The sequence below is a fragment of the Homo sapiens genome, chromosome 10 (assembly GCF_000001405.40).
Source record: "Homo sapiens chromosome 10, GRCh38.p14 Primary Assembly".
Classification (NCBI taxonomy): Eukaryota; Metazoa; Chordata; class Mammalia; order Primates; family Hominidae; genus Homo; species Homo sapiens.
The window spans coordinates 124689972-124717744 of NC_000010.11; the positions used below are offsets into that span (position 1 = coordinate 124689972).

Consider the following 27773-nt stretch of genomic DNA (forward strand, 5'->3'; position numbering starts at 1 on the left):
ACTGGCAACAAGAACTCTGAAGGGACAACAAGGTCAGTTTGGTCCATCTCCTCTGGATTTCCATCCTGATTGTGGGTGTGCACAGAGCAAGTGAAACGGGCAGCTGCTGGTGATGCATCTCTTAACTGATGTACACAGCAAAGCGGGGCGCCATTAAACCGACGAGGGAACTGGCGACAGGCAGAGCTTTTCACGAAACTGTCAATAAATGCATATTTACTGTTAATCAGCTAACACTCCAATAGGGTCCTTGCTGAAGCTGAGAAAGAGCATGAATGTGCATCCCAAGCACGTGACTCATCTCATGGGTTGTCACAGCAATCTCCATCTGACTGATGGGGGAAACTGGGCTTCAGAACGATGTCACATCTCCCCCATGGACACACATCCAGCAAATGACAGAGCCCAGACGTCAACCTAGTCTGTAGACCCAAGGTCATGCTCTTGCAGTTGGGCCAGGCTGCCTAACTTGACCATTTCTTCATGTGGAAGGCATGGCACCCAGACAGGCTGGCAGTGGCCATTCCCTGTCCTCTGGCACTATTGTGGTCCCCTCCCCATCAGGTGAGCCCAACCTGGGTAAGAAGGCAGCCCTGGGAAGCTCTGTCTTCACTCGTCACTGGCAACAGTTACCATGTGCCAACCACATTTTACATCTACTTCCATTCTGTGCTTTATTATTCCTGAAAAACTGCCTGAAACCAATGAATGGTACAAGGAAGAATTTACATACCCTTTATGGACAAACTATTTTAGAGATTTTTAAAAATCACACATATGACCATAATAAAAATAAAAATAATAAAGCAAACCCTAAAAAGTCATATATATATACATACTTACATATGGATGTAATTTTTTTTCAATGAAAACAAATCTCATTCTAGCCTACACTGGTTAATGAGCAGTCTCTTACTGGAGGACCTGGCCCAAAGATCACATTCAAAATGGCTGTCTCTGCAAAAGAGAAAAAGTGGCAGAGACCAAAAATTGGGCCTGAGAAGCTCTGATTTTGTTATTGCTGTCACTCATTTTGATTCTTCGTTTATTTGTTCTAAGAATCAAAAGCACTCAAGCTCTGAGGGCCACGCTTTTCCTGCAATGCGCAATCATTTTCCACTTTCCATGACAAACAGTGGCTGAGTTTAAAGACCAAAAGCTACCAAATCTCAAAGCAAAATCTCTTAGTCCTCCCCAGCTCAACACAGCCAACTGGTTTACCCTGTAGAAATTAATACAGAGAGTGCCCCAGGGAACAACCCTTTTATGTACAGAGTAGACTTTAACAGCCAAGTAATTAAACCCTGAAAGTAAGGGCTTATAATTAAAATGCGGACAAACCTGAACTGGGGCGGCACAAGGAGGGCTGCTATAATATTTTTACAATTCCTTTTTATACATAATGTATGATCCTTCTGCTCAAGTTTCCTGTATGTTCTTTGCCTGTGAAATAATTTACATTAATAAATAATTTATTACCATAACTCCTAAAGTAATTATGGGTTTCCATCCAATTTTTTTTAGCATATGAATTGTTTTGTTCTGTCCATTGACTTGTATTTACAAGACTTTTCCTAGTAGCCTTTTTAAAATAATTGGTATTGCCTTCGCTTTCTTACATATGATGTGATTTCCAGGTCTCCTCCTCGCCTGAGTGCTGAGGAAAATGGAATGTGTGGTGTCCATTGTCCCTGCAATACAAATGCACTGAATGGCTGCAATTAGCCAAGGGTGGTGAATGGAGACTGCGCTCACTCCACTTGCCCTGTTTCACCAAAAAAGATCAAACTAGTACACGTGTGACCCTGGGTCCCCCACTGCAAGTGGGAGAAGATGTGGAGGGAGCCTTGACTGAGAGTCCACGCGTGGCCCCGCTTCTCCCCACACAGGATGACTCTCAGCCACAGCCCAGGCCCCTCTTTGTACCCACTAGAAATGAGAGCCAGGAGCAAGGGCTGGCTCCCTCACCCAGCCGGCTGACCAGGGGGTGGGCCGCACCACGGAGCTGCCACCTGACCCATGTTTCCTGTGTCGAGAGCACAAGAACCAGTCATATAAATGGCTCTTTCCCAGAGAAGCTTTGTAGAGGAAATTCCATTTCAGCAAAGAAGGTGGACTGGGGATGCTCTGGAAGATGAGAAAGGAAGCCAAGAGTCAAAACAGCCTCCGCTGGCAGGAGCCCTGTGGTGGCGGCTGAGCTGGCACCCTAATAAGGGGCACTGAGCCCTGGTGCAGGGCTGGCTGGGCAGCACTCAGCTCTACCCTATCTGCTTCTCCCACCCACGCTTCACGCTGGCTTTGTTCTCTCTTCCACACTGAGAAGAACAAAACCACTTATCTGTATCAAGTTCCTAAACTGGGGTAGGGGACAAGAGTGGGGAGGGGCCCGGTATCCAGCTTGCAATCACAGGGCGTGAAGTGCTTTTAATTAAAATAAATAAATAAATAAATAAAAAGCATAGGCCAGGCGCGGTGGCTCATGCCTGTAATCCCAGCACTTTGGGAGGCTGAGGCGGGTGGATCACCTGAGGTCAAGAGTTCGAGACCAGCCTGACCAACATGGTGAAACCCCATCTCTACTAAAAATACAAAAATTAGCCGGGCATGGTGGCAGACACCTATAATTCCAGCTACTCGGGAGGCTGAGGCAGAAGAATCGCTTGAACCCAGGAGGCGGAGGTTGCCCTGAGACAAGAATGCGCCACTGCACTCCAGCCTAGGAGACAGAGCGATACTCCATCTCAAAAAAAAAAAAAAAAAAAAAAAAAGGCATTGTTGTGAACACTCAATTTATATTAGTTATGTGTTTTATCTAAGTGGGTGCAGAGGAGGCTGAGCTACTTGAAAGGGTGGCATTTTAAAAAGTGACCAGGGTGCTGTGCTCCTTGCTCTACTGCACTTGCCCAGATTTTCTGCAGAACATTTGTGAAACTTGAACTCATACTGGCTCCCAGCGAGGACCCTGGCATGGGGGCTCAGGAGGAAAAAATCCTGAGTCACAGGGCCAACTGTCCCCAGCTCTCATGGGAGAATTCCACTGATCAGCACCAGAACATGAGTCCTTTATCTTCAGGAGACAGGCTGGGGGTTGGTGATTATGATAATTTGGTGTTTTATCTTCGCACAGCATTGTCCAGCGCTGGAAGGGCCCAAAACCCTCTTGAAAAGTCTAGCCGGCCCCTCAGAGTATTCTCTTCCCCACTGTTGAAAAGCAGGCACGCCGGGCGCGGTGGCTCACGCCTGTAATCCCAGCACTTTGTGAGGCTGAGGCAGGCGGATCACGAGGTCAGGAAATCAAGACCATCCTGGCCAACATGGTGAAACCCCGTCTCTACTAAAAATACAAAAATTAGCTGGGCGTGGTGGCACACGCTTGTAATCCCAGCTACTTAGGAGGCTGAGGCAGGAGAACTGCTTGAACCTGGGAGGCGGACGTTGCCGTGGGCCAAGATCACACCACTGCCCTCCAGCCTGGCGACAGTGAGACTCTGTCTCAAAAAAAAAAAAAAAAGAAAAGCAGGCACACCTCAGATGAAATCTCGCTGCCTGGGTGGAGTGCACTCCCAGTTCATGGAGCACACGGAGGACTGGAGAGGTAACCTGAGCTTCCACTAGACAGAGTGCACGGGGTAAGGCTCCTGACTGCTGACACCCGCTCCGCTCCAGCAAGCGCAGGAAAGGGATAGAGGTGGGAGGGAGGATGTGTGCTAGTGTGTGGCCGTCTCCTTAAATCCTCACAACTTGCAAACTGAGGAAACCTAGCCGGGAAGATGGGGTGGTATCCCCATAGCTCAAGGGCCTCCACATCTCACGGGAGTTGGCCTAAGCAGTGCAGAATTCACTGTTCGTTGATCTTTCTCCTCCACCAGACAGAAAGCTCCCTGAGAGAAGGGGCAGGGTCTGATTCACTCTATCCCTCACCAGGTGCCTGACACACAGCAGGTGCTCAAGTCATATCTATGACAGCAAGCCACTGAAAATGAAAACAAACTGCAGTCAGTGAAACACGTCAGTGATGCACAGCCATGCAGGTCAGGGTTTTCCTGAATTAGGGAGGGGCCGACCAACAGAAAGATGAGACCCATGGAGAGAGAGCAGCAGAGGAGAACAAGGGGACTCCACAGACCTCCCACCAGTACAACGGCTCCCCGCTTCTCCCTCTGCTGCCTGGCAGTGCCCTGGCACTGTCCCACAGAGCAGAAGGAAGACAGGACCCTGCTGAAGAGGAGAAGAGCCTGGGACGGAGGCATTGGGACCCAGCCAGCACTTCCTAAAGAGCCACTCTGTAAACAGGAGTCTGCAGACACAGCGTAGTCCCTCCTGGAAACCATGGCCTCCCCGGTAGAAAGCAGGTTGCTGGGCTCTGCAGCCTCCGATAGACTCTCCTGGGCCATCTGGACTTTTTCCCACACACCTCCCTTCTCCGGGGCCTCTGCCTTGGTCTCTGGGCCTCAAGACCTGGCCCTACAAGGGCGACTCTCTCTGTCATCACAAACCCACCAGACTTCCACCTTATTATAACTTACACAGTGCAAAGACTAGAAATCCTTGAAATAAAGACCAACATCTCCACAACCCAGTTTACTGGTCTGGCCCGGTTGACAGCTAAAGCCTAGGCAGGGTTGAGGGGCTGGGCATGCCGGGGCCTCTCTCTTTCCCAGCATGACGCAGGAAGGAAGCGCAAAGGTGAGGTTGTCCCAGGAAGCAGGCGAGGAGGCAGGCTTCTGAGCTATGTGTCTGGGGCCCTGAGGGTTTGCTGAAAGCTGTAAACCACCGGGGAGGTATTCAATCCTGTGGGGACGGGCCTCCCAAGTATGTCACATGGAAAACCAGGGCCAGCTGATCTCCCTGTCTCCATCTTCTTCAGTGGCAGCATCAAGAGCACCGCCAGGTGTCCCAGAGCCATGGCAGGTGGTTGAGAAGAAAACAGTCTCCCTTCGTCACCCACCTGAGTCCAACTCCGCTTACTGAGGGACCTTGCAGAGGGCCACCTCACTAGACCTCAGTTCTCCCGTATGTGAATGATGCCACTGGCAGAGCCAGCGGGGCCCAGCATGTAAGGAGCCTGGCACAGTGCTCAATCTGACACATCACCTCATCTATGGCAACTGTATCTGAAGAAGAAAAACAAAACACCGCACATGGAGGGAGGACCGAGAAGGAAAGGCAAGGGAGACTCTGAGGTCTGACCAAAGTAACCTTTGAATCTGAAAGCCCACAGTCATCATCATCTATCATCTGAGAGTGGTTTCTGAGTCCACGCAGACGTTACAGAAACTCATCCGGCAAGACGTCCCCAAAGGTGGGCAAGGAGAGCCACAGAGAGACACTGAGAGGTCAAACAATGCCCAATCATCTGAAGCATCAAGTAATCAATGGTCATCTTTTTTACCGCCTATAAAAAACAGTAATTCACACTTGCACAGAAACAGAAGATCAAGGCAATCTTCTCTGGAAGGCATGTCAGCAAAATGAATCAAGAGCCTTAAAAATGTCCCTGCCCTCCAGCCTGTCTATTCCACTCCTGGAAACTATCCTAGCAAATCATCACAAAGGCAGACAAAGAATTAGGCACTTACCTAGCCACTGTTCATCACAACAGCAAATAAAACAGCCTCTTGACCCAACAGCCTAGATGTAGTTACATCACTAAAGACATTCTGATACATTTACCACCCAATGCGGTACTGTAGACCATTAAAATGCATGGAATGAACAATTTTAATGCTGTGGGAAGATGATGGTAACTACTCCAAGTGAAAAAAGCAAACAAATATAGTTTTACATAATTATATGTTCATCGTGGAATGGGCTATATAAAAAATGCTAAGAACATAAACATACACAAAAATATCAACAGTAACTCTCCCTGGGCATTGGGGCTACGAGAGATTTTTATTGCATACTTTACACTATTGTGCATTTTCTGAATGAAAAAAATCAACATGAATTACTTTAATCATCAGACAGAAATTCTCAATGTTGGAGTTGTAAACCACACACCAGTGCCTGTCCCTTCACTCAGGCACCGTAGGGGACCAAAATAGTTAAAACACACAGAAGAGTCCCGGGGCTGCTCTTTTTGAACTTGTGTCCAGAAAGTGCTTTGAGTGTCTCACCTGGAGGACTCAGACCCTGGCTGGAAGGACTAGGAGGACAGCTTCCAGGATGGCCTTGAGTACTTACCCATAATTCCACAAGAGAAAAGTGTAGGTCCTTGACTCATCTTCTTTGGCGTGTGCTGAAAACAACCAGAAAAGCTATTCACTCTTCAAATCATAGGAAGCATGTTTGCACTGACTCTACTGATCCCTTCTAAAGTCACAATAAAAGGGTGACTGTCCTTTGCCAATGTCAGATCAGGGAAAGGAGGAAAAGGTATTCAAAGAGAAAACATCTGCACAAAATTAGGCCCAGATTTTTTGTCCCAAGTCTCTAGTGAGTTATGGAGTCCATCGAGTTAATGGGCTTTGAAAACACACAGAAAGCCCCACGACTTCTGACACGAGGGGATTTTTCCACATAAGTGATGTGGAGGCGGCCCGGGGGCAGGATGGATGGTAAACAGTGGAACAAGCTTCCCTGAGCTGGGCTGAGAAGAGACCAAGAGAGGAGGGGACCTCCCTGGGGACACGAAGAACCTCAAGTAGGGAGCAGAGGGCCCCAGGTCCGACTCCGAGACCCCTCCCTTCCAGATCCAGGGAGAACAGCTCTCCCGCTCTGGTGAGAAGCATGGGGAGAGCTCGGAAGGGCTGGCGTCTGCTCTGCAGACTGTTTTGTGGCTACATCGAGTCCCCTTGAGGCATTTTCTCTGAACTGAAACAGAAACTCAAGGGTTATATTTGGTCTCAACATAACAGCTATGGCTTTTGAACTCCTTGGCCCTGTATTTCCACAATGGTTTCCCTTTCCACTGCAAACATTCTACAGCTTCCCTGATGCCCCCCGCCTACCCTCAACTGAATGCTATGGCCACCAGGCAGAATAGGCCAACGAGGCCTAGAAGAACCCCAAATCCAGGGCACTTGCTCCATGGCTACACAGTAAGCTGGGTGTGGAATATTCTGGGGGTTCCTCATGCTAGGTGATACCCAGGTCAAGAGGCTCGCTCGGTCCTCTCATGAGCAGAGACTACCCAGCCAGAGCCCCAGGAAGGAGCTCTGCCTCAAGTGCTCCAAGGCTTCCTCACTCACTCGCCCACTCGCTCAGTGGGCACGGGCTGGTGATTCTTCCTAGGCGGGCTGTGCTGGGGGTTGATCATGCAATGATGAAAGGAGCTCTTAGCCCCAGAGAAATGAGCCTGTCACAGAAGGCTCTGACTTCTAAAAGGAACCCTGAACACTCCCCATATCAAAATGACACAAACAGACAAGACTTCCAGGCTGGTAAGTGGACAAGGGCCCAGGTTCTGGCTCTTTAAGGCCTGGCAGGAGGATGGGGCTGACTAGGAACGCCTGGCCCCTCCAGGTAAGAAGGCGGCAAGCACCTGGCACCAGCTCCCTCACTTCATCCCCATCCACCCAATCCAGGGACCTCTGCACAAGGTCAACGCCGTGTTCATCCCACGGGGTTACTAAGGGTCCATGCTGACCAACCTGGGGACACAGAGGTGAAGGAGGGCTCACTCTTCATGGAAGACGGTCACAGACAAACCACAGGGAGATCAGGGCTGGAGGGGATGTCCAGGGCAAGTGTGCTGGGATGAGGGTGGAGGTCGGGGCAGCCTCCTGGGGGGGATGCTTAGACACTTGATGAGGACCACAGGAGCTTCTAGGGCGGAAGGGGAACGGGGCAGTCCTCCTACAGGTTGCCCTCCTCAGTTTAAAATGATCCTAACAGTATCATCAGGCTCAGTCACCCTCCTGGATTCCACAGTGATGTAACCATCCCCTCTACCGCCATCTGTGGAAATATCTGGGAAGAATTCAAAATGGCTGCACCTGCTTCCTCCCATCCCCCAACACAATCCCAGCTGAGAGGTGCAGCTGAGAACACACCGAAGTCATCCAATGGCAAGTGGATGACAAGCGCATGAGAGCACTGCTGCTGGGGCTGCACTGCCTGCACAGCTGAGAGCTCAGCCTGTGGACGCCAGGCAGGCGCCCAGTTTGCAGGCTCAGAGAGGGAAGTCAGGCCAGGGTCTTGCTTGCCAAGGAAGGCAGCTCCCAGCACTAAGGGAACACCTGGGCACAAGGAAATTACCCCCTGGGGAACCCCGGCCCCCAGCCCGTGCCTGCCAGGTGGGAGAAGGTAACCCAGGGTGGGAGGCCAGAGAGGCCACACCAGGATGGGGGCTGGGGAGAGCAGAATTGAACAGGAACACTGAAGCACCCCGCGTGCTTCACTGGCATGCATGCAGGAGGGCTTGGGGCTTTCCACACCAAAGCAGGAAGCCACGTAGTGAGCCGCCCCTGCCTGGCCAGCAGAACAGTGCTTGCTGGCCGCCTCTCACCAAGCTGGCATGTTCTAGACCAAGGGGGACCTCAGGGCCCTCCTGACCCAGGCCTTCGCAAGGAACACTGCCAGAGATGCTGGGGTCTGTCTGCCCACAGAGGCAGCACTGGGCCAGCACACAGAGCACCCCAGGCACTCGTTCATACATTCACTCAACTTGCTCATTCATTCATTCAATGAGGACTTATCAGCATCTGCAGCAGGTCCCCAGAGTGGCCTGCCATTTCTAACCTGGAAAACTGACTCCTCACCACCCCACCATTGGCCCTGATCCCAGCCACTGCCAGCCCCAGTGAACGCCCCTCCTAACCGCTCTTACAGCCTGTACCCTCGGCCCCCATTCCCCACCCTCCATCCAGAACCCAGAGCCATCTTCTTAAAGCAGAGATCAGACCACGTCATTCTGTTCCAACAACTTCCCACCACAACCAGAATCAAATCCCGGCCACTACCTCTCCTCCACAGCCTACAGGGCCCCATATGAGCCAACCTGAGTACCCCCAACCTTGCTCTGGCCCTCCCCTCCTCACTCACACCACCCAGTGGGGCCAGGCCAGTCACTACCATCTCAGGGGCTTTGTGCCGGGATCTTCACGCAGCAGGCTTTGCACTGTTCCTGCCCTGTGGCCTCCTCAGTGGCCTTGCCGGACCATCCTGGCTAAAGCGGTGCCTCCCACCTGCTTTTCTCTCTCCCATCGCCTCATTTAATGAACATGGCAGGTATCAGAACATCTGTTCCTGTACTGATTCTCTGCTCCATGGGAACGGAAGCTTCTTGAGAAAGGAGGGCTGTCTTGGTTCCAACATCCCAGCTGACAGCAGGCACCATGGCTACAGCCACCTGTCAGCGCCAGCCTGTCCCACTCCTGCAGCCACACACCCAGTGGATGTCAGGCAACGGAAGTGGATTTTCACTGGGCAGAAGTCACTGTCTCCCAAAATCGCTGGCCTCACGCAAAGTCAAACCTCAGTGGGGAAGGGCTGAGAGGCCAGCCTGAGTGTCAGAGCCGCCCTGCAGGCTAGCCTGGCCTCCTCATGCCGGTCTCCAACACTCTACCTAAGGGTTCCCATGAACCAGCAATGGTGCACACTATGATTTTCTAACTCGAAAGAACGACTTCTCCATTTCCCCACCCCGGGCAAGCCACTGCTTGCTCCTCACTGAACAGATGAAACCGCGCAGCCCAGTGGTGCGGCCCCCTTCTTCTGTCAGCAGCACCCCAATTCTGAATTGGGATACCTTCATCGTCACTGGATCATGTCTTAGTGGGACTGTCAACCAAGGTGCCTCCACCTCCCCTGGCCCCAGGCTAGGCCCAGAACTCAAGCCTGGCTGACCAGACACTGGTTCCATGGCTGACTCCTGAACCACAGAGCTGGGGCTGATCCGCCCAGGAAGGAGGCCCTCAGCCTGCCCGTGAGCACCTGCTTCTAAAGTCCTCCCAGCTGCTCCCACCCTGCCCTTTCTGAGGCCCGACTGGCCCCCTCCTCTCCAGCCCTGCGAGCTCGCCCTGTGCTTCAGGGAGTTCTCTTTCGGGGTGAGTTAGCTGGAGATGGCCTCTGGTGCTGACAAAGGAGGAACCCTGACTGATTTCGTGCTTGACCTCAAGACCAGATCACGGCCCATCTTGCTTTCTGAGCCCCATCCGTGAGGCTAAGCCAGTGGCGGCCAGGCCAGAATGTCATGTACTGACAGCTTTCCAGGGTGCCAGGCCCCAGTGTACCCTGACCGCTGGCAGGTTTCCCTGGTCCAACTCCACATGGGCAAACCAGCAGAGTTCCTGCTTGGCTCTAGGTTGGCCAGGGCCTTTTTTTCCCCAGGCTTCCCAGTATATGCTAACATTCCCACTGGTATTTACCATTCCTATACACACGGCCTTTCCAACACTTTGAACCTCCTGCACCCACAGTGGGAAGAATGAGCCAATCACGGTGTGGAGGCCCCACCAGGCCGAGGGAACCCCTCGGCCCTCTGAGGTTTCACAAGACACTCAGTGTCTGCACTCTGCGAGCACCCGAGCCCTAGCTGAGGTCTGCAGTGAAATAAGACCAGAGCACATTTCCCCTTTGTGCTTCTCCCACCGTGAAGCCTCTGTTCCCGAGCCCACGCCGGGGCAGGGCCTCGTCTCTGTGAGACTCCTCAGATCACGAGAGAAGGTTTTTGGAATTAGATCCTCGTAGGAAAGGCAAAAGCTGGAAATCAAATGGAGGCTTCAGGGCCATCTGTCTGACTAAAGAAAGCAGCCCTGGCTTAAATAAAGACACAATTAAGGCTCCAAATGAGGAACTGGCCCTGCAGAAAATGCCAGGCCACAACCACGGTTCTTGGTAACTTTGCTCTGCACATTATCCACTAAAGAAATCAAATCACCTTTTCCATCTCCTGACACGGTGTTACAGGGAGCCACAGAGCAACAGGGGGAGGCTCGCGCTCATGCCCTGCGGGGGAACGAGTGGAGCACCCACACTTCCGAAATGCAACCCCGCGAGACCGTGGCAGTCGAAAGCAAAAAGGAGATCCAGGCCTGAGACAAGAAAGAGAAGCTGAGGAGGGAACAGCACCTTTGTGTGAAGACTCTCAAAGATGCGGATAGAGATACGCTGGCCCTGACTCCTGAGGCTCTGGGATTAGCCAAAGCATGGGCAGGCCCCTTGGTATCTCTGCCTGCCCAGGGTGAAAGGCATCAGGCTGCCCTGGACCCTGTGCACTCCCACATTCTAACTTCAGGCCAGCCTGGGGCCTGCCAGAGATCCTGGCTGGGGCTGTTGAGCTCAAAGTGCCAACTTAGCATGGCCCGAAGTATGAAGAACCCCAGTGCCCAGGCAACTGGGTGCAAGGCCTGACATGGCCACTAACTCCTCAGGTAAGAAAAGTCATTTAGCCTTGGCATCCTAATCTGACAAGTACAGAAGGAAGTGCTTGTTCTAGCTACCAGATCAGCCCCTCCAAAGGACAAGTATTGGTTGTTACGTGGAAAGTCAGGCAGCCTGGAGCTCCATGCTGCCCTCTGCCCAGGAGCAGCCAGCCACCAGCTCCCTTTGGTCTTCAGCCTTAAGGGAGGATGGGCTGCAGAAAGAAGAGCGGGCCTGGCCAAGGGAGGTGGTCACTCTGGAAACAAAAGAACAGGCCCTTGGCCTGAGTGTGGGCGTGCGGGAAGGAGCTGAGGGAGCACAGTGCTCCAAGGTCAAACGTCTGGGCTGCCTTCCAGGGGAGCAGCTAATGTTAGAACACTGGAAGGAAGAGCCCACTCAGCAGAGGAAGGCACTGGCCAGAGTGGGGGAAAGGGGAACTGGACCCAGCCATGGCTGCCGGCAGTGCAAGCGAAGCCAGGGCCATGGGCACAGCTGAGCCTCAGGGCCATCTCCCCCCAGGCAGGTGGGCCCTGTGCTGGGAAAGGCAAAATGCTGAGCACTGGTCAGTCCTTTTTTTCCCTTTTTCCCACATCTTTCTTTGAGGGAAAGACAGTTGTTTCACCAGCATTTAGTTTTTTAAAACAGGGGAACCAGAACCATGGCATGAACCCCTAAGAAGGCTGGGAGGGAGACCGAGTCCTCACACCCCTCAACAGGCCTCAGAATTGGCCACGAGCTCCTCCTCCAGTGCCACATGACACCCAGGGTTGCGAGGACCCTGGTGACTTTCCCTTGCACATTGAGACTTTCCCGCTCTGTGACTAAGGCCTGACTCTGGGGACCCAGGGTGAGCTGCGCCTCTGGGGCCTGCTCCCATAATTCCAAAGTGGCCTATGCTGATACCAGTCCCGGCCTCCCCCACAGTCATGCTTTCCTTTAAAATCTTAAACCTCCACTTGTTATCTTCTTAGTCTGATTAGAAAACAAAAGAAAAATTATTTTCCATCGTTCCTGTTGTTATCTTGATGGTATTTACACGGGGATGATGTTACCAGTTTAGGAAGCTAAAGCAAAACCCCGTCAACTTCCTCTGAACCTTTGCTGGCTGTTCAAAGCAAATGCTAGCATCAGCTTATCTCACATTCTGTCCCGTGGATGTCATCACTAGACTAAGATTATTTTCAGTATTTCTTCAGTTATTTACATCGTGTGTCTCTCCCCAAGGCCTGGAGGGGCTCCAAGGCGATCACAGCCTCTGGAACAGGGCCCATGCGAGAAGGTGCTGGGGGAAGCAGACAAGGGCCTGGACTTGAAATCTGTGACCAGGGCAGCCCCTCCCTGGGCTCTCTGAGCCACAGTTTCCTTCCTGTATAATGGGGTAGAAATGGGTGCACCCCTGCCCCTCAGCAGGTGGCATGAGGCTCAAGGACAGGGAGGAGGTACCTGGACCTCTGGGCATACAGTTTGGATGTTCGTCCCCTCCAAATCTCATGTTGAAATGTAACCCCCAATGCTGGAGGCGGGGCCTGGTGGGGGGTGTTTGGGTCATGGGAGCGGATCCCTCATGAATGGCTTGGTGGCCTCCCCATGGTGATCAGGGAGTCCTCGCTCTTCTAGTTCATGTGAGGGCTGGTAGTTTAACAGGTCTGGCACCTCCTCCCTTCCCTCTTGCTCCCTCTCTCACCTCGTGACACACTTATTCTCCCCTCACCTTCTGCCATGACTGGAAGCTTCGTGAGGCCTTACTAGAAACAGATGCAGGTGCCATACTTTTTTTTTTGGAGACACAGTCTCACTCTGTCGCCCAGGCTGGAGTGCGGTAGTGCTGTGATATCGGCTCACTGCAAGCTCCGCCTCCCAGGTTCGAGCCATTCTCCTGCCTCAGCCTCCCAAGTAGCTGGGACTACAGGCGCCCGCCTGCCACCACACTCAGCTAATTTTTTGTATTTTTAGCAGAGACGGGGCTTCACCATATTAGCCAGGATGGTCTTGATCTCCTGACCTCGTGATCCGCCCTCTTCAGCCTCCCAAAGTGCTGGGATTACCGGCGTGAGCCACCATGCCTGGCCGGTGCCATACTTCTTATACAGCCTGCAGAACCATAAGCCAAGTAAATCTCTTTTCTTTATAAATTACCCAGCCTCAGGTATTCCTCATAGCAACATGATATGAACTAACACACTTCCCAAGACCCTCAGTGTAGCTGCACCTCCAACACCTTCCTGCTGGCCCACGCTATAGCGCAGGCAGCGCTGAGCCAGGCCGGGCCAGGCACTGACGCCCAGTCAATGTGTTCTGGGCGCATAAGCAAACTGAGCAATGAGAAAGCCCATCTCCAACAGGGCTGCTCCCCACAACAGACCTCTCATCTGGAGCCAAGGGGAGAGAAGAGGAGGAGGAAGACCACAGATGGACCCAAAGCACTGCACACTGGGTGGTTCTGGGCCCGGACAGGCCAGTAACAAAAAGCAGCAGAAAGAAGGATACTTTCCAACAAAGCAAGGAGAGTTCAGGAAGAAAGCACAGATTCTAATCTGTGTGGCCACAAGAGAACACATGGTAGAATCCCTTCCAGCAAAGCCGCCTGCTCTCCCCTGACTGCTTTCCCTTTCTGAGATGAGTTTTCCTTCCCTGGCCAGGGCTGGGAGGCCGTGCTCCTCCTGGCAGGGGCTCAGGCCACACCTCTTGGAAGAGCAGCTCAGCTGACCTTGGGCCCACATGTCCTGGAACCAACTCTGAAGCCAACACCAGGCAGTCCCACCCTGAGAAGGGACCAAGCACAGAGGCGGCCACTGCAGCCAACTGCACAGCTGGACCCGGGTAGGGCTCCTCCCTCGGGACCTCCAGATGGCTCCTCACCCTTGAGGTCCCTTCTTTTTGGTCAGAGCTACTCTAGTCGCACCCACTCAGTCGTGAACTGGAGCAGCAGCCAGAGAGAGAGTAAGACAATGGTGAATGAGAAGAGGCCAGGTGACAGGAACCTGCAAGCTCATCCATCCACAAACATCCACTGAGCACCTGCCACGGGCTGGGCCCCGTGCATTCAACAACAAGTAAGAGAGACATCCTCTGCTTTCTCAAAGCTCCCATTCTAGTATAAGGACTCGGTCAAGATCCACAGGGACATGTTTAAAAGTGCTAAGTGCCCAAGAGGGAAAAAGGAAAAGAGGAGAGAAAGTGTGGTGGGGGTAAGGGGTGGGCGCTGGCGCTGGGACTGAACTGTAGGTTGAGTAGCCAGAGAAGGAAGGAGGGAGGGAGTATGTCCTACTGTGGGGAGAGGGCTCCAGGCCAAGGAAAAAGTGCAAAGGCCTGAGGCAGGCTCACGCTTGGCATATTGGAATAGGGAGGCCAGTGGGGACCGAGCAGAGGGGGCAGAGTGGCAGAGATGAGGTCAAAGCAGTCACATGGACAAGAATATATGGGGCCATGTACATCCTAGTAAGGGCTGGGTGTTTGCTAAGCATTCAGTGTAAAGCCAGTGGAAGCTGCTACACAGAGAAGGACAGCTCTGACTGGGATTCTCTCTGGCTGCTGGGTGGAGAACAGGTTAAAAAGAGCCAGAGGCAGGGGACCAGTTACCACAAGAATCCTTGCGAGAGAACAGCAGGTGGAACCAGGGTGGTGGCAGCGGGGCTGGTGAGAAGTAATCACATCACACAGCAAATGTGAACTGGAAAGGATGGGGTGGTAGCAGAAGAGCTGAATGGTCACAGCAGCTCTACTCCTCGCTGCAGTGACCAAGGCTGCCATCGAGCAAACACACCTCAGGTGCCTGCTGTCTGCCCTGCCTCAGTAGTGCTGGGGACATGGGGAGGAGCAAAGCTGAGTCCCTATCCTTGCAGCTGGGGGTGACACCCCATGGAGACCTCACAGGCTGAGGCCCATGAGCAGAGTGGCACCAGTGTCACATCTGGTAAGGGCTGAAGAGACCTGACTGAGGGAGGGCCACCAAGACTGGCGTCCAGACACCAGGCAACAGGCAGAGGCCTGAATGCAGGCCCAGGAAGTGGGGCTAGAGGGGCAGGAGGGAAGGCGGAGGCGGAGCCAGTGAGGCAGTTACTGCCTGCTCCAGGTTGCAGCTGCCTCATTTGTAAAACAAGGAGGCTGGACCCAACGGTTTCTAAGCCACTTCTTCTCACCCTTCAAGGCCAAATCAAGTATCCCTGCTCCGCAAGGCTTTCCCTGGCGTGCTACAGCCAGGCTGGCCCTGCTCCTCTACAAGCCCTGGGCTTCCCATGGGCTTCAGCTGCGAGTTCTTAGTCATGGGATCCTCAAGTGTCACTGTATTCACAGCTCTCCAGACACCCTCCCTCTAGACCACGAGCTTCTCAAGGGTGAGGAGTACAGGGCCTGGCTCCAGCTCATCCTGTTCCCTGAACTCCTCCAGCCTGGTGCCCAACACACGGAAGGCGCTCTGTGAGGCCTGCGGAAAGAATACAGATCTCGGTGGCTTTCCCAAGCTCCTGCCACAGCCAGAGACCTAGGTCTATCTGCTCAAGGTCTGGTTTCACTGGCATGAGCTAGGGGAAGGGGCCCACCAAGGAGGCTTGGCGTGGGTCCTCACGAGGAGCCGTGAAGGGCGCCAGGAGGGGTCCTGGGCAAGGTGACCCTGGGCAGTTGGCCCCTTCCTGATCACGGAAGCTGCAGAGAGTTCTGAGGACTTGCCCATCTCCACAAGACTGCTTATGACTGAGTGTGGCTTCTCGCTCCCTCCACAGGGGAGCAGCCTGCACTCACATCTGAGGAACTGGGCTTGGAAGGACAGGTCTGCTGACAGGGTTCAGCTACTGGAGGTTGTTTTGCTCGTAGTCTAAGAAGGCCGAGTTAGCTACCTCTCTGCGCTAGTCCACCAAGTGGTCCAGGGTGGTCCAGGGTGAACCACCTTTGGCAGAGGGTGGCTGTTGCCATAGCTCACCACACCTTCTTTCCCCATCATCTCCCACTCTCGACGTTCCTGAGGCAGCACCACCCTTCAGAGGGACAGGCTTATCTGGGCCTCCATTCAGGGCACCAACCCCCTCTGGAAACCACCCCCCCTTAATGGGTGGAGACAGAAGGAATGTCAATCCTGGCTTGGCAGGCGGCAGAATCACACTTGCTGTTATTTACCAGGGGATGGCCTCCCCTCCTCATTCACCAGATGACCTCAAATCTGAGCTGAGTTCCTTCCTTCCAGCAAGTTCTCAGTCAAGCTCTGCTCCTGTGCCCTGTTGCCCCAGCCCGGGACGCCTCACAGAGCTTTGCTCTTGGGGACTCTGGACTCGATTTGCTAAGCTTAGGTGCTCAGTCCACAGCCCTGTCTGTACATCAGGCCTCAGAAATGGTCATGGAAAGCAGGAAGCCTGCCAGGTCCTCACCAGTTCACGGCTGAAGGTCCCACATGCAATGGAGTCAGCTCCCCGGGTGCTGAGGCTTTCACTTAGGACCATCACCATGATAAGGGCCTCAGGCGCTGGGCTCCATCCCAGGGTGGGTATCAGCCATCTTCACTTGGGCAGACTTGGGGTGAGTACCTCCTGGGGAATTGATGTCAGCAGAAACAGCTCCCCATTGGCCACTCACCCTTGGGGTGGGGCCCTTCTGGGAAATGGCCAAATGTGGTCAACTCCCTGGAAAGACAAAAGAAAAGCAAAAAGATTCAGGACTAAGAAAGACGAGGGCCCTGAGAGTCACCCCTCCCACAGTACTGGAAATCCCAGGGGACTGGAACCACCTCTCTGCTAAAGGAGATGCACTCTGGGAGAGTCACCAAGGCCCAGAGTTACCTTCTCAGAGTCCCCCCGCCCACCCCTGCCATGCCAGCCTTGGGCTGCCTCACTTGTAAAATGGCCTGGTGGATAGAACAACAAATTGGGGTCCAGCCGCATGATACCTTTAAGATCTATCTCAGGGTCTGGGTGGCTAACAATCTGCTGTCCCTGCAGCATACTCAAGTCATGTGACATCTTACCACTAAGCTGGCTCTACAGGCAGCTTCAGCACACACCAGGATACATTAAAGTAGGCCAAGGGTCAGAACATGCCTCAGCCCCGCATCCAACACCAAAGGGGTCGGCCCTCAGGCAGCCAACTGGCAGCAAGGGACCAGCAGTCAGCATGCTGGCTCCCTTCTCCAACCAGTTATGAACAGAAGCTAATGGAACAATCAGTAGGGTCCATTTAAAAAGGCATACATTTGGCCAGGCACGGTGGCTCATGCCTGTAATCCCAGCACTTCAGGAAGCTTAGGCAGGTGGATCACCTGAGGTCAGGAGTTCGAGACCAGCCCGGTCAACATGGTGAAACCCCATCTCTACTAAAAATACAAAAAATTAGCTGGGCTTGGTGGCGTGCACCTATAATTGCAGCTACATGTAAGGCTGAGGCAGGAGAATCGCTTGAACCTGGGAGGCAGAGGTTGCAGTGAGCCAAGATTGCACCACGGCACTCCAGGTTGGGGCAACAAGAGTGAAACTCCGTCCCCACCCCGCCCCCAAAAAAAGGCATACATTTCTGGTCCTTGGAAGTGCCACATTTCAACATCAACATCTTTGCAACACTGGAGGCCTTCACAGTTTTGTCATCTTCCCCAGAATGAACTAAACTGAGCTTCCAGCAGTGATGGGACCCACTCAGCATCGCCATTCTGCACAGCCTATCCGCAGCCCCTCTCCGATAACCCACCATCATTTCCCACCAAACAAATGAAGAAAGAGTGCGGCCTTCAGTTCAGGTTTGAAAAATCCCTCCTTATAAACTCATGTCTCTGATTCTATTTCCCCATGTGGCTAAACCTTCAAAGAAAGTCACACAGATACAAGGAACCTGAAGATCACCATCAAAAAGTAAAAAATAATCATGATAACAGTATTAAATAGAAAAGCAGCTTCCAATCTGTAATCAGAAACAAACTGCTCAACACAGGAAAATGTTTTAGAATCTGCTGCTCTGTGTAAAAATTAATTGCACCCTGGTATTTACTTGCTGTCCAGATTGTAAATCATGTTTTCCTGTTTACTTCAATTAGACTTTACAGTGGGTGTTACTGAAATTGCTCAATTACAGGCCAGCTGGCAAGCACAGGAAAATTACCTTCTACTGTTCTTCGAAAACAAGGTTCATCCAAAGTGCAAAAGCAGGGAAGGGGAGGAGGGAAATCAATACATGTTCAGGAAGGGAGCCCCGGGGAGCCTGAAGATTCCCAGGTCGCATTGAGAGACCTGATGCACAGGTTCAATACCACATCGATCTAGAAGTGACATGTTCTGACCAAGTGTGATCTGTTCAAGGAAAGAATTTCAGACCACTCCTGCAAGTTCTGGCCAGGCAGCTGAGCCAGAAATGCCTGTCAGCCCCCACTGCAGGCTTAGCTCAGGAGCAGGCCAGAGAGGTGCTCCTGGACTCGCCTTTCAAAGGGGCCTTTTGTGCCTCCTCAGTGGTGGAAGCCTAATGGCAGCCGTCATGTTTCTGTGTGTGAGCCCCAATTCAGCTCTACGGCAGCCAGCCGTCGGCACAAGGCCTGAGAGGTGAGCTGCCTGTTCCCTCCTCCCCCATTTCCAGCCTCTCTCTAGGAAGCCAGGTGGGCTCAGTAGCTACAGAGGCTCAGGTCCTGAGTCAAGCACAACTGAGTTGGAATCCCAGCTCTTGAAATACATTGTTTGAGTGGCCTTTGCCAAGTTACTCTCAGAGCCTCAGTTTCCCTCTCTGTACAACAGGGAAAACAGTGCTTGCCTCACAAGGTTACTGTATCTGATGAAAACAGAGCCCAAGTCCTTTGCCCAGTGTCTCGCTCATCCAGGAGAGTGCTCAATCAGCAGCAGCTACTGCTAGCAGTTTCATGGGGGAGGCTGGGAGTCCAGATCCTCCTCTCGGCAATGGACGCCCAAGCGGCCATCCTCTCAAATGTGTTTAAAGGGAAACAAGCTAAATTCCATTAACAAGGGCCTGGCTATATGATGGCCCATCCCTCTGGTGAAGTAGGAGGCGGCCAGTAGAATGAAACTGTGGAAGTCTGTCGCCATGGGAACACATTAGCCCATCCAGACACAGCTCTGCATGAAGCAGGAAGCCAGAACGAGGCAAAGACGGGGCACCCCAGCTCTCTCTAGCTCCATCCCCAGCAGAGTCCCGACAAGGGGCCAGGGCTCAGAGAGGCAGCAGAAGCACCAAAAGCGCCTGGGTAACTGGGTGGTCAGCACACGTGGCAGGCATGGAAAGGAGAAGGCAGGTGTAGCACAATCCCTGCCCTGGGGGGTCTCACAGAGAGTGCAGTGACCCAGCCAACACATTTCAGAGGCAGGCAGAAAGGGGGACATTCATCGGAGGTAGGCCTTAAAGTGACTCCTTTGCACCGTAAGAGCCCAAGAGTGGGGACAACCTAGCTGCCTACAAGCAGGGCAAACTGGTTAAATACATTACGGTGTTGTTACATAAGGGAATACCATGTGGCCTTCAAAAATATTTTAATGAGCCAGTTCAAACTGTACAGATATGAAACAATCTCCAAGAAATCCTATAAAGTGACAAAGGCAAGAAGAGCGAGTCCACTAGCCTGAGTGACAGAGTGAGTCTCTGCCTCAAAAAAAGAAAAAAAAAAAAAAATAGAAGGAGTCCAGCATGGTCCCACACAGTGGTTGCCTGGAGAAGGGAATGACAGTTCCGGAGAGGAACCACGTCCAACCCTATGTGAGGTTTGAATATTCCATCCCACGCCTGCCCATGGTACTTTTAGTTCTTAAAAAACAGGCAAGATTTCATCAGGAAGGGCAGGGCACCCAGGCAGAGGGAAGGGTGTAAGCAAGGCGTGGCCGCCGGGTCGGACTTGGAGTATGGGAACGGTGAGCGTGCTGGTGGCTGGCACACAGGGCACGCAGAGGGCACAGCAGCAGGATGGGAGCTAGAGAGAGACTCAAACCAGACCCAGGGCTCTGAATGCCATACTCAATGGAGACCTTATCACTGCAGCTGTGGGGGCTCCCAAAGGAGGTTAGAAGCTGGAGCTGGCTGCTTTGATCTGTTGGGAGAGCAATTTTTTCTGAACCCTTTGCAACACCTACCACGATCCCTCACATACCCTAGCAGCTCAATACACATTTCCAGAATCCAGCTAAATTACAGCAACATGTGAAATGATCTGGGCACGTTCTCAGAATTTGTGAGGCGAATCCAGACCAGCAGAGCCCAGCACGATCTGGAATTTCCTGGGATTCCTATGACCCGTGGGCCCTGGCCCGGCCAACTTCACTGGGGAATGCCAGGACCAGGCCGGAGACTTCGAGCCCAGTCTGCAAACAGGGTCAGGGTCTTCTCAAAGAGAAGCCGGGGGCATGGCCAAGAAAAAGACAATAACTGGGTGATCCCACAGGGCGCGAGGTGGAAGCCTCGCAAAGCCCTCCCACAGGCCACCTCTGGGGCACACACCCTGCCATGGTCTAGTGGGTTTTCTCTTAACCTATATCAAGAATCACTTCTATCTACTGAGCACCTACTAGGTACCAGGCGCTTTACACACATTAGCCACAAGCCAGATTGAATTATCCCCATTTTACAGCCATATACAGCAACTCACCCAGGGTCCGGGTTCAAAGCTGGGATTTGAACCCTGGTGGGCCAGCATTCAGGACTGCACTTCCCACCATGCCTCACCTCTCCATCCCCTAAAAAACCCCTTCAAATGCCCATTCAAACAACTACCAGCAAGAGTTCTCCTTAGCATTTATTCCAGAGAGATTAAGATTTATGTTCACACACAAATGTTTGTAACAGCCCTTTATTCATAACAGCCAAAACCAGGAAATACTCCACAGACGCTTTGCTGGGTGAACAATTAGACAAAATGTGGCAGGGCACAGCCACACTGTGGAATACTACTCGGCAATAAGAAGGAACCAACCAGAGACACACGCCACAACCTGGATGAGCCTCCAGAGACTCATGCAGAGTGAAAGAGCCAGTCCCCAAAGGCTCACTATTCTAGGAGTCCATTTATATCCCTTTCTTAAAATGGCAAAATTATAGAATTAGTGAAGAGATGAATGGCTGTCAGGGGTTGGGGATGGGGCGTGGGAGCAGGAGGGAAATGGGCGTGGCTATGAAAAGACAGCGGGAGGGATCCTTGGAGACAGACATGTTCTGTGTCTTGACTGTATCCGTGACAATTTTCTGCTTGTGATGCTGCATTAGTTTGGTAGGATTTACCATTAGGGGACAGCGAGTAAGGGATATGCGAGATTTCTCTGTATTATTTCCTGTAACTGCATGAGTGTAAATGATCTCAAAAAAAAAATTTTAAATAAATCCCAATCTATGCATTTATCAAAATTCATAGCACTAACCACCAAAAGAGTGTATTATGCTATATATAAGTTTTTAAAACTTTTTTTAAAGCCCACTGATTATACCAGGGAGACCGTGTGCGCGGGAAGGGGAGGAACGTGTGTGTGGAATTTAGCGGCCCTGGCCTTCGCCATGAAATCACTCGACTTCAGTTTCCTCATCTTTAAAATGGGGCTGAGGCTGGTCACAGTGGCTCGCACCAGTGATCCCAGCATTTGAGAGGTTGAGGCAAAAGGACTGCTTGAGACCAGGAGTTCAAGACCAGCCTAGGCAACACAGCAAGACTCCATCTCTACAAAAAATAAAAACTAAAAAAAAAAAATAGCCAGGCGTGGGAGTGTATGCCTGTAGTCGCAGGTACTCAGAAGTCTGAGGCAAGATGGCTTGAGCCCAGGAGTTTGAAGTTGAAATGAGCTATGATCATGCTACTGCACTCCAGCCTGGTGATAGAGGGAGACCTTATATCAAAAGAAATAATTAAGCTGGGTGCAGTGGGTCATGCCTGTAATCCCAGCACTACGGGAGACTGACGTCAGTGGATCACTTGAAGTCAGGAGTTCAAGACCAGCCTGGCCAACACGGTGAAACCCCAACTCTACTAAAAAATGCAAAAATTAGCTTGGCATGGTGGTGCATGCCTGTGATCCCAGCTACTCAGGAGGCTGAGGCGCAGGAAACACTTGAACCTGGGAGACAGAGGCTGCAGTGAGCCGAGATTACACCACTGTACTCCAGCCTGGGCCACAGAGCAATACCCTGTCTCAAAAAATAATTATTATTATTAAGTAATTAAACACAATGAGGATAATACCTTTGCCCTGGGGCTGCTGTAAGATTTAAATAAGAAAACACATATAAAAAAGCTCGGCACAGAGAAGGCCAGGCATTGGTGTCCATTCCCCTTTGCACAAGTAGCAATCGTGGGCCGCACTCTCATCGGGCACCATCCTTGCATCTCGGCTGCAGTTTTCCTTGCCCTGTATTTAAGTCTTGTATTGTCACTTCCCAGTCCCCACATTCACCTCCCACCTCTCTCCCGTGACTCCCTGGGCAGTGCTCATGATAGTGGGCCTCCAGCCTGCTTCCATACACAGCTAGGGCTACCCAATATCTGCCAAAGGAGGGCTAGGTGAGGGTCTCCCCTTGGCTGGCACCCCAACCTGATCATGGAGACACAGTGCTCTCTGACTCAACCCCAGGAGCCCCTACTCAATGACTCATCTTCACCAGGATTTCCACTGAAAAGAGCAAAAGGCAAGGTCAGACTTCCCATTGATCCATGTTTATGCTCCCTGGGTGCAGACACGGTGGCAGGGGGCCCCTGCCCACCTCCCAAGTCCTCACCCCAAGAGTGCATCTGCCCAAGAACGGCCCCAAACTTGCCAGCATTGTGCCCAAAGCAAGGCCTATGGGTGGGAGGGCACACACACAGGTGGCTGCTGCCGTGGTCAGCAAGACGCCCCATGCCCAGAGCCCATCTCCACCCCCATGTGCCCCACACAGCCACACTTCCAGCCACAGCCCTCCACCCTCACCTCCATTCCCATCTCCCTGGGCATCCACCAGAGGCTGGGTCCTTCTCAGCTAATCCTCTCACGTTCCTATGAACAGGCATTATGGTTGGTAGTATGCACATTTTCCAGATGGGAAGACTGAGGCTCCAAGAAAAGAAATCAAGTCATTTGCCCAATATCATACATCTAGCAGGGGCAAGACCAGGATTCAAACCCAGGCCTTCCTCCCCAGGCCACTCTGTCTCTGACACCACAGAAACAGGGGGGACAGCTTTGCTCTCACACAAGGCCTTGCTAACATGAAATTTTCTTGCTTTTGTTCTACAGTCTTCAATGTGTCTTCATTTGTTTGCAACCGCTGAACACAGCTATCTGATATCACTGTGGCCTGGGACTCTCAGCTTCCAGCAAGTGGGAGCCCCACCTGGCTCATCCACTTCAAAAGAGGATTGCATGCTAATGAATTAATACATACAAGAAAGTGTTGCAAACTCTACAATCCTATATAAATCTTAAGAAGATTAGAAGTTTACCAAATGCTCTGTAATGCATTTTGAAGGGCTATCCCTTAAAAGAAACTGGAAATCAGCAAGACAAGCTTTTCCTTCTTTTAGTGTCTTTATTTAGCCTGTACGTACTACTTGCACACATTAGTTTCACAGTTAATTTTACCGCCTTAAAAACAGGACTCAGATCAAAACCTAAACATGAGAACTCAGCCACTGACAGTGATTTTCCTGGTGGCTCCCGGAAGTCATTGCTCTCAGAGCTTCCATTTCCCCCTCCCATTAAGCAAAGGAAATAGGAGGGGAAGACAGCAATTCCACAAGGTCTTTGTGCACTTTGAAACTTTCGTAGCTTCAGTTGTTGGTGTGACAAAAGCAATCTGTGGGCAGAATCCAGAAGCAAGTATATGAACATTTGGGGAAGGGTGTTGCTTAGTGGGTCACGTTGTCTCCTGCCAAATTCTGTGACAACCCTAAAGTGCGAGAAGGGTTCCGAGGGGAGCCGAATGCTGCAGTCAAGCTTCATATCCGCCAAGACAAAGGGATTTAATCTGCTTGGGGACGCTTCTGCTTGCTGATTTTATATACTAACTAAGTCATCTGAGTCTAAAGGATAAAAGTTGAAAGCTGCCTAAGAACTTTATCCAGGGCCTCTACTTTCCCAGACCAAGTTGATACTGGAAAGAGAGTCTGGTGTTTCAACCAGAGTTCAGGACCCACGAATGTGCAGCTTCTATACTATAGTGAACATTTCAACGACTCCCACAGCCAGGGTTCCCATGTCTTCAGGTCCTGCTGAGAAACAACTAACAATCCTGCCAGCACCACCCTCAACACACAGAAAAAAAGAGGCAAAGAAAACCTCTTGCCGGGCGTGGTGGCTCACGCCTGTAATCCCAGCACTTTGGGAGGCTGAGGCAGGCGGATCACAAGGTCAGGAGATCGAGACCATCCTGGCTAACACGGTGAAACCCCTCTCTACTAAAAATACAAAGAATTAGCCGGGTGTGGTGGCGCACGCCTGTAGTCCCAGCTACTCGGGAGGCTGAGGCAGGAGAATGGCGGGAACCCGGGAGGCAGAGCTTGCAGTGAGCCAAGATCGTGCCACTGCACTCCAGCCTGGGTGACAGAGCGAGACTCCACCTCAAAAAAAAAAAAAAAAAAAAAGAAAACCTCTTTCATCAGTACTTTGCTAGTGCAGAAGTAACAGGTGACACAGAGCCTACCTTTTAAAGCAGCATGAGGAAAATATTAGCCAAAGCAACAGTGCCAGGCCCTGTGCTTACTGCAACCTCAGAGTATCCCTATCAGAGGGTACTACTGTTATCCCATTTTACAGAGGGGGAAAGTGAGGCCCAGGTCTAAGGTCACCTAGTTGTGAACAAGGCACAAAGACTCAACCCACATCTACAGAACTCCAAAGTCTGTCTTAACCCCTGGACCCCACTACTCCAAGACCTGTAAGTTTCATTGTTAATTATCCTTTAAGTACTTGATTTGTCAGCTAAATGATCAAATGCCAAAGCAGACACTAATTTTGCAATACACACACTCTCTAATACAGCCCATCCTGAGGTGTCCCAGCCAAACATCAACCTTCTGGAACTGATGTTGAAACATGGTATTAGGGGTTCCACTGTAAGCAAGAAAAATGGGCAGATGACGAGTATCTTGGAGAGGGTAGAAGCGGGACAGGAAGCCATCACTTTCCCTCCTTAACTGCATGGATGTGCAGACATGGTGGGTAACCTGCAGAGGGTGAAGTGTCTTCCAGGAAGCTCAGGGTGCTCCTGGGCCTGCAGGGAGTCACAATGGCTTCTTGCAACCCCAGCTGGAACCTGTATCCATCTGTCCCTATCTCCTCAGGTCCTGTGCCTCCTGCCTATGCCTCCCCCACTGCCACCCTGTCCTTCTCTCAAAGTTCATTTCCAGGTTGTTTGTGGGGAGCCCCCCCTCCACGTGTGCAGCCTAGGTGTTGCCCTCCCTCAGTCATCCTGTGGCCTCAGCACAGAGCCTGCCCACGGCAGCAACCTGACTGATGTCTATCTGCTAAGTCAGTATCACAGCAAGAGCACTGAACTTGAGTCCACGCTCAGCCCAGCTCAGTCCCAGAGGAGCTGCAGGGCCCTGGCTAAGCTCTGCAACTTTGCTCAGCTTTCTGCCTTTGTAACATGTAAGACGTTACCCTTGTGCTGCCCGCCTCAGCTATAAGTTAAGGAGGTAACGCCCTGTAGGTGGGGGCACTACAAAAATATCCCTAGAAACACTGAAATCCCTAGGTAGGCACAATTCCTAGCAGGGCATAGGCCCTTATTAAATGCTCATAAATTGGATAAAAGCATCTCGTCTTCACAGCTACAGCATTAGCTTCTAGGGGCCAAGAATATGTTTTTGAGTCCTCCAAGCACCTTGCTCCTGCAACTGGGCTGGTGGACATTCAGCAGGGCAAGTGAGAGTGGCTGGCTGTACGCATGAAGCACCTGCTGTCCTTAGACAGAGAGGGCATACTCACCCCTTCCTCATCCCTCCCTCCACAGGAAGGTGTGTCCTCAGAGGTGCTTTCTTCAGTAACTGGGGCTAAAACATATTCCCTGATCTAGTCCTTCAGGTAATCAAAGGCCACCGAAGGCCACACTTGGGGAAGGACTGGGAGTCACACTACACAGCTTGAAAGAGACTTGACCTGGGCCCCTGGCTGAACAAAGTGGCCCAGGCTCGCCTATGTGTCTCCTTAATGGAAGGGGGAAAAACAAAACAAGACAAAACAGTAAACTGAGCTGCTGAACCAAATCGGAACTCTGTTCTCCTGGACTTTTCAATGTTGTAGGGATTTTCTGCTTTTTAAAGCAAATAACATTTCAAGAGGAGGGGGAGGAATGACATTATTCAGGGACATAAAAGTGCTGGGATCCAAAAAGCCAAAACAAATCTCAACATGGGAATGAGACAGCCCATGTTGTTTCTTGAAACTGAAGCCAACTGCATGCATGACTTGTCAAGAGTCCATTTATCAATGAAAAATAACTGATGGACGAGCTTCCTATAGGCACTCCCATAATTCTCACGACCGCTCATGTCCTTTTAACCCACAAACACTATGAAAGAAGAGCTTGCTATAGACTGGAAGCTGCTTGACACACTCAAAAGGAAGGAGACGAGGGACAAGAGGCACGGAGAGAGGAGAACTCACACTTACCGAGTGGCCACAGAGCTAGATGCCGCCTTCTGCTCCAAACCGGGGGAAGGGAAAGAATGGGAAGAGAACCAGAGGACAATGAGGGGACCGCAGCGGGCCCCAAAGATAATCTACTATCATGTTAAGCCACTTAGCCTAAGACAACCATGACCTGTTCTTCAGTCGGACCTATTTATAAGTATACTGAATTTACTCAAACCATGACTAAAAACCAACAGAAGAGGGGTGGAAAAAAAAGATTTAAAAACAAAAATGGAAAGACCCAAACAAAAGGCTGTGTGGCCTAGGTGGATCAAGCAGGACTTAGGGGATGGGGGCTCTGGGCTTGACAGTGCCACTTACTGGCTCTGCCCAGTTTGCCAAGTTATTTCCCTCCTCGGAGCCTCAGTTCCCTCATGAGTCAAATAGGATGCTGGGCCAGATAAGCTCCGTTTCTGACTAGTGAGACTCTAACTGTAGTCACGTATCAGCTGTGTGGCTTCAGCCAGGTCTTTATGACTCTCTGGGCCTCAGTTTCCTCACGTGTCACAGGCAAATGGCAACTCTGGAGAGAGCATGAAAATCAATAGATTTGAAGGTACTGAATGAACTATAAGAAAGGACAGTAAGCTGATGATGCCTGTCCTGGAACAACTGCTATGCTGGCCTTTCCAGTCCTACTCAGACCTGACCTGCAGTTCAAGGTCCCAGGAAACTGGACAAAGGCAAAGGCCAAATCCTTACTTGCTGCCATCAAAGTGCCCTGGCTATGACCTCCCATAAAGCAGAGTCGGAGCAGGCCACAGGGACTCTTCCAATGGGTGGGACCGAGGTAGCGGGGAGGTGGTGTTGCAGAACCTGCCCCTCTCTTACATATCCATGGGGTGAGGATGGGGATGTATGCGTGATTGCATTTTCCAAGCTCAATCCTTATGCATACAGGGGCATCTTGGTGTC

General features: G+C 51.7%; 1 protein-coding gene and 1 long non-coding RNA gene across 3 annotated transcripts in view, besides 9 other annotated features; one reads left to right on the forward strand and one right to left on the reverse strand.

Annotated features, from left to right (window-relative positions):
- The window catches only part of FAM53B (family with sequence similarity 53 member B), a 125087-nt gene that overhangs the window by 70680 nt on the left and 26634 nt on the right, over positions 1 to 27773 (reverse strand). Inside the window, exons 2-3 of the mRNA NM_014661.4 lie at positions 16665 to 16916; positions 6187 to 6241 (exon numbers count right to left, since the gene is read on the reverse strand). Coding sequence (NP_055476.3) covers positions 6187 to 6241; positions 16665 to 16742 — 133 coding nt within the window. The 5' untranslated portion in view covers positions 16743 to 16916. The remainder of the gene's footprint in view (positions 1 to 6186; positions 6242 to 16664; positions 16917 to 27773) is intronic.
- Positions 2964 to 3155: a silencer, noted in NCBI's record as "fragment chr10:126381504-126381695 (GRCh37/hg19 assembly coordinates)". NCBI's record gives its function as "represses an EF-1alpha promoter that drives an FKBP-Casp9 reporter gene in an ReSE screen in HepG2 liver carcinoma cells {active_cell/tissue: HepG2}" and the evidence as "EXISTENCE:reporter gene assay evidence [ECO:0000049][PMID:32094911]".
- Positions 6544 to 6723: an enhancer, noted in NCBI's record as "active region_4176". NCBI's record gives its function as "activates an Ori minimal core promoter by ATAC-STARR-seq in GM12878 lymphoblastoid cells {active_cell/tissue: GM12878}" and the evidence as "EXISTENCE:reporter gene assay evidence [ECO:0000049][PMID:35858748]".
- Positions 6734 to 6983: an enhancer, noted in NCBI's record as "active region_4177". NCBI's record gives its function as "activates an Ori minimal core promoter by ATAC-STARR-seq in GM12878 lymphoblastoid cells {active_cell/tissue: GM12878}" and the evidence as "EXISTENCE:reporter gene assay evidence [ECO:0000049][PMID:35858748]".
- Positions 9487 to 9686: an enhancer, noted in NCBI's record as "active region_4178". NCBI's record gives its function as "activates an Ori minimal core promoter by ATAC-STARR-seq in GM12878 lymphoblastoid cells {active_cell/tissue: GM12878}" and the evidence as "EXISTENCE:reporter gene assay evidence [ECO:0000049][PMID:35858748]".
- Positions 9761 to 10431: an enhancer, noted in NCBI's record as "H3K4me1 hESC enhancer chr10:126388301-126388971 (GRCh37/hg19 assembly coordinates)". NCBI's record gives its function as "activates a minimal SCP1, AML or CMV promoter by ChIP-STARR-seq in primed H9 embryonic stem cells {active_cell/tissue: H9 hESC(primed)}" and the evidence as "EXISTENCE:reporter gene assay evidence [ECO:0000049][PMID:30033119]".
- Positions 10617 to 10766: an enhancer, noted in NCBI's record as "active region_4179". NCBI's record gives its function as "activates an Ori minimal core promoter by ATAC-STARR-seq in GM12878 lymphoblastoid cells {active_cell/tissue: GM12878}" and the evidence as "EXISTENCE:reporter gene assay evidence [ECO:0000049][PMID:35858748]".
- On the forward strand, positions 14057 to 24803 carry FAM53B-AS1 (FAM53B antisense RNA 1). 2 transcript variants are annotated; one of them, NR_120630.1, is made up of 3 exons: positions 14057 to 14360; positions 17880 to 18019; positions 23463 to 24803. It is a non-coding gene; the product is annotated as an FAM53B antisense RNA 1 (long non-coding RNA). The 2 variants fall into 2 exon arrangements; NR_120631.1 differs by lacking the exon at positions 17880 to 18019.
- Positions 15259 to 15850: an enhancer, noted in NCBI's record as "H3K27ac-H3K4me1 hESC enhancer chr10:126393799-126394390 (GRCh37/hg19 assembly coordinates)". NCBI's record gives its function as "activates a minimal SCP1, AML or CMV promoter by ChIP-STARR-seq in primed H9 embryonic stem cells {active_cell/tissue: H9 hESC(primed)}" and the evidence as "EXISTENCE:reporter gene assay evidence [ECO:0000049][PMID:30033119]".
- Positions 18947 to 19665: an enhancer, noted in NCBI's record as "H3K27ac-H3K4me1 hESC enhancer chr10:126397487-126398205 (GRCh37/hg19 assembly coordinates)". NCBI's record gives its function as "activates a minimal SCP1, AML or CMV promoter by ChIP-STARR-seq in naive H9 embryonic stem cells {active_cell/tissue: H9 hESC(naive)}" and the evidence as "EXISTENCE:reporter gene assay evidence [ECO:0000049][PMID:30033119]".
- Positions 22729 to 23023: an enhancer, noted in NCBI's record as "tiled region #10105; HepG2 Activating DNase matched - State 5:Enh". NCBI's record gives its function as "activates a minimal TATA promoter and a strong SV40 promoter by Sharpr-MPRA in HepG2 cells {active_cell/tissue: HepG2}" and the evidence as "EXISTENCE:reporter gene assay evidence [ECO:0000049][PMID:27701403]".